The following is a 2,916-nucleotide window of genomic DNA, read 5'->3' on the forward strand; positions in this document are numbered from 1 at the left end:
AGTCCAGCCTTCCTGACCACCTCGAGGCAGCCATGCAGGGGCCTGGACTCCAGGGACCTGGACAGACCCTCCCTCAGCTGGGGCAGCTCTCTGGGGGTGAACTCAGGAGTTGGAACCCAACGCATTCCTGATCCTCTCCGGGACCACTTCCACTTTCTGACTCCTTTTCCTCCCTGAGCTCAACATGACAGAGGAGGGCTTAGGCCTTTGTTCTGAGCGAGTGAGAACTGATGCTAAACTCTTGGGCTCACACCAGACAGCAATTAAACGTCCATCAGCCTTCCCGTTCCCAGGCTGGTCCTCCTTAGCCTGGGGTGACCTGGAGGTGGCTCCCCACCCCTCCCAACCAAAACTTAAATTGAATAAATAGATGGGACTTCCGAGGGGCCTTCGAGGAGGGGCTCTCCCGAATGCAATCAGCCAAAAAGGGCTGAGAGCTTTGGAAACGATTTCATTCATCAGCCTAATGGCTTTGCAACCCTGTCTGAGGAAGCTCAGGGTTAGGGCTTTTGTCTCTGATGCCAGCGCCTAAGCCCCTTCCCTGGGCAGGAATGTGGGCTCCCTGGACCCCAGCCCAACCCCACCGCCCTGAAACCAGAGCCACAGGCTCAGCCGGGTTGACTTTGGCTACAGGGCCAAGGCCCCCGCTTTTCCCAGGCTCTGCGAGATTTTGTTCCAAGCAGAGCAATTTCTTGGGCACTTTCCCTGGGATCAAGTGTTAGCCAGGGCTGTAAATCTTTTGTTCCAAAATGCAGACCTCATTCTTCTTGGTTTCTGACACAGATTTGCAGTAAATTAAATGAGAGGGGCCTGGAGGTGGGACTTAACGTCCTGAGTGATTCTGTGGGGTGCCAGCCATGAAGAGTGCCGTCTGTGGAAAGGCCACAACCTTGGACCTGGGATGTGGGTTTCTCTCGCTCCTCTTGGTCTGAGAGGGCACCAGGAGACCTTCTGCCCAGGGCCAGGCTGTCCTGGGCACCAACCTCCAACCTTTTTTTTTTTTTTTTTTTTTTTTTTTTTGAGCCATCTCGGCTCACTGCAACCTCTGCCTCCCAGGTTCAAGCGATTTTCCCGCCTCAGCCTCCCAAGTAGCTGGGATTACAGGTGCCCGCCACCACGCCCGGCTAATTTTTGTGTTTTTAGTAGAGATGGGGTTTCACCATGTTGGCCAGGCTGGTCTTGAACTCCTGACCTCAAGTGATTCATCTGCCTCAGCCTCCCAAAGTGCTGGGATTACAGGTATGAGCCACTGTGCCCAGCCAGTGACCTCCAACTTTAACCAGGAGTGGGGCTGGCAGGGGGCTGCGGCTTTGCTGGCTCAGTTCTGTCCGCACAGGGTGCAGGACCTCCAGCCCTGCTGCTTCTGTTCTGGGTCCGCACAGGGTGCAGGACCCCCAGCCCTGCTGCTTCTGTTCTGGGTCCGCACAGGGTGCAGGACCCCCAGCCCTGCTGCTTCTGTTCTGAGTCCTAGCTTTGGAGCACATGGGCCGCGGGCACCCTCCCCCGTACTCCAGGCCCCGGGCCAGCTCTCTCAGGTGGTCTTGTCTTCCTTTCACTGATTAGAACTGGGGCTCTGAGAGTGGTCAGGGGAGGTCTTAGCGGGTCGAACCAGCCTCAGCCCAGTGCTCCGAACCAGTACCTCTGCCCACACCCCCAGATGGCCTCACGTGGGGCAAATGTCACCCAGAAGTTCACGTCCAGCACAGTCCTCAGGCAGCCCCACAGGCGGGGCCTGGATAGTGCTGCCAGGGGCCTTGCCAGCCCAGGTCCTGAGTGTCCCCATCTCTGCCATCTGAGGAGGGCAAGGATGGCTTCGTTCCTTATTGCTACAGAGATTTCTGGGACTGTTCAACCAAGAGCTGCCATGCCTTTGGTGGTGGAGGATCCGGGAGCGGGTCACTGCGGAGGGCCCAGCTCTGCCGAGGAAGCTGCGTGTTCTCCCTGTGCTCCAGGGAGGGCGGCCAGTGGGGCGGGCAGCGGGGCTTGGCTGGGCGACTCCTGCTCAGCTTACTTTGAACAAACACAGTGACCTAAAGCAGAGCCGGGCGCTCCAATCTTTTCATCAGGAAAGATTTAATTTATTGGGAGCGCAGAGCCACAAATCATAGGCCTGGAGATTTATCGCCTCCAGGGGCAGAATTGACCACAGAGGGAAGGCAGCCTTCCCAGGCCCACCTGGCTCCTTTAATAAAGTTGAAAATGTAAAATATGCCCTGTCCCGCACCGGGCGCCTTGGGTCCCACGGCTGAGTTTATGGAGGAGGCAGCATGACCATCATCTCCTTACGGAGAACTCGGCAGGGGCCTCCTGGGCCAGGGCTCGTGTGCTTAGGGTTGCAGTGCTGGTTGGGGTGGCGGTGGGGAGAGTCGTACTCCGCGGGTGCCAAGGAGGTGCTGGGGCCCAGGAGGGGCCCCGAAGATCAGCCTTTGGAAGACCTGGAAGACGGGGAGGAAGAGCGCCAGCATTGTAGGCAGGGGAGCACTGGGGGAACTGGGATCAGCGTGGCCGTCGCGGGCGGGGACAGCACTGGGGGAACTGGGATCAGCGTGGCCGTCGCGGGCGGGGACAGCACTGGGGGAACTGGGATCAGCGTGGCCGTGGAGAGCGGGGACAGCACTGGGGGAACTGGGATCAGCGTGGCCGTGGAGAGCGGGGGGAGCACTGGGGGAACTGGGATCAGCGTGGCCGTGGAGAGCGGGGGGAGCACTGGGGGAACTGGGATCAGCGTGGCCTTCGTGGGCTTCACAATCAACAGAGCCCGCCCCTGCGCTCATGGAGCCTCCAGGCCCCGAGCTGGGCTCTTCACGATGTCTCGTCCCCGAAATCCTGGTGACCAGGCGTCAGAGGCTCTTCCTACTCCTGGCTCACGGGCAAGGATGCCAAGTCTCAGACTGGCAGAGGCCCCTTGTGCTGAGT

At 59.3% G+C, this 2,916-nt stretch overlaps 1 annotated feature.

The window, feature by feature from the left end:
• Nucleotides 228-1,061: an enhancer, noted in NCBI's record as "H3K4me1 hESC enhancer chr9:139067483-139068316 (GRCh37/hg19 assembly coordinates)". NCBI's record gives its function as "activates a minimal SCP1, AML or CMV promoter by ChIP-STARR-seq in primed H9 embryonic stem cells {active_cell/tissue: H9 hESC(primed)}" and the evidence as "EXISTENCE:reporter gene assay evidence [ECO:0000049][PMID:30033119]".

Source organism: Homo sapiens, chromosome 9, assembly GCF_000001405.40.
Source record: "Homo sapiens chromosome 9, GRCh38.p14 Primary Assembly".
NCBI classification, from domain to species: Eukaryota; Metazoa; Chordata; class Mammalia; order Primates; family Hominidae; genus Homo; species Homo sapiens.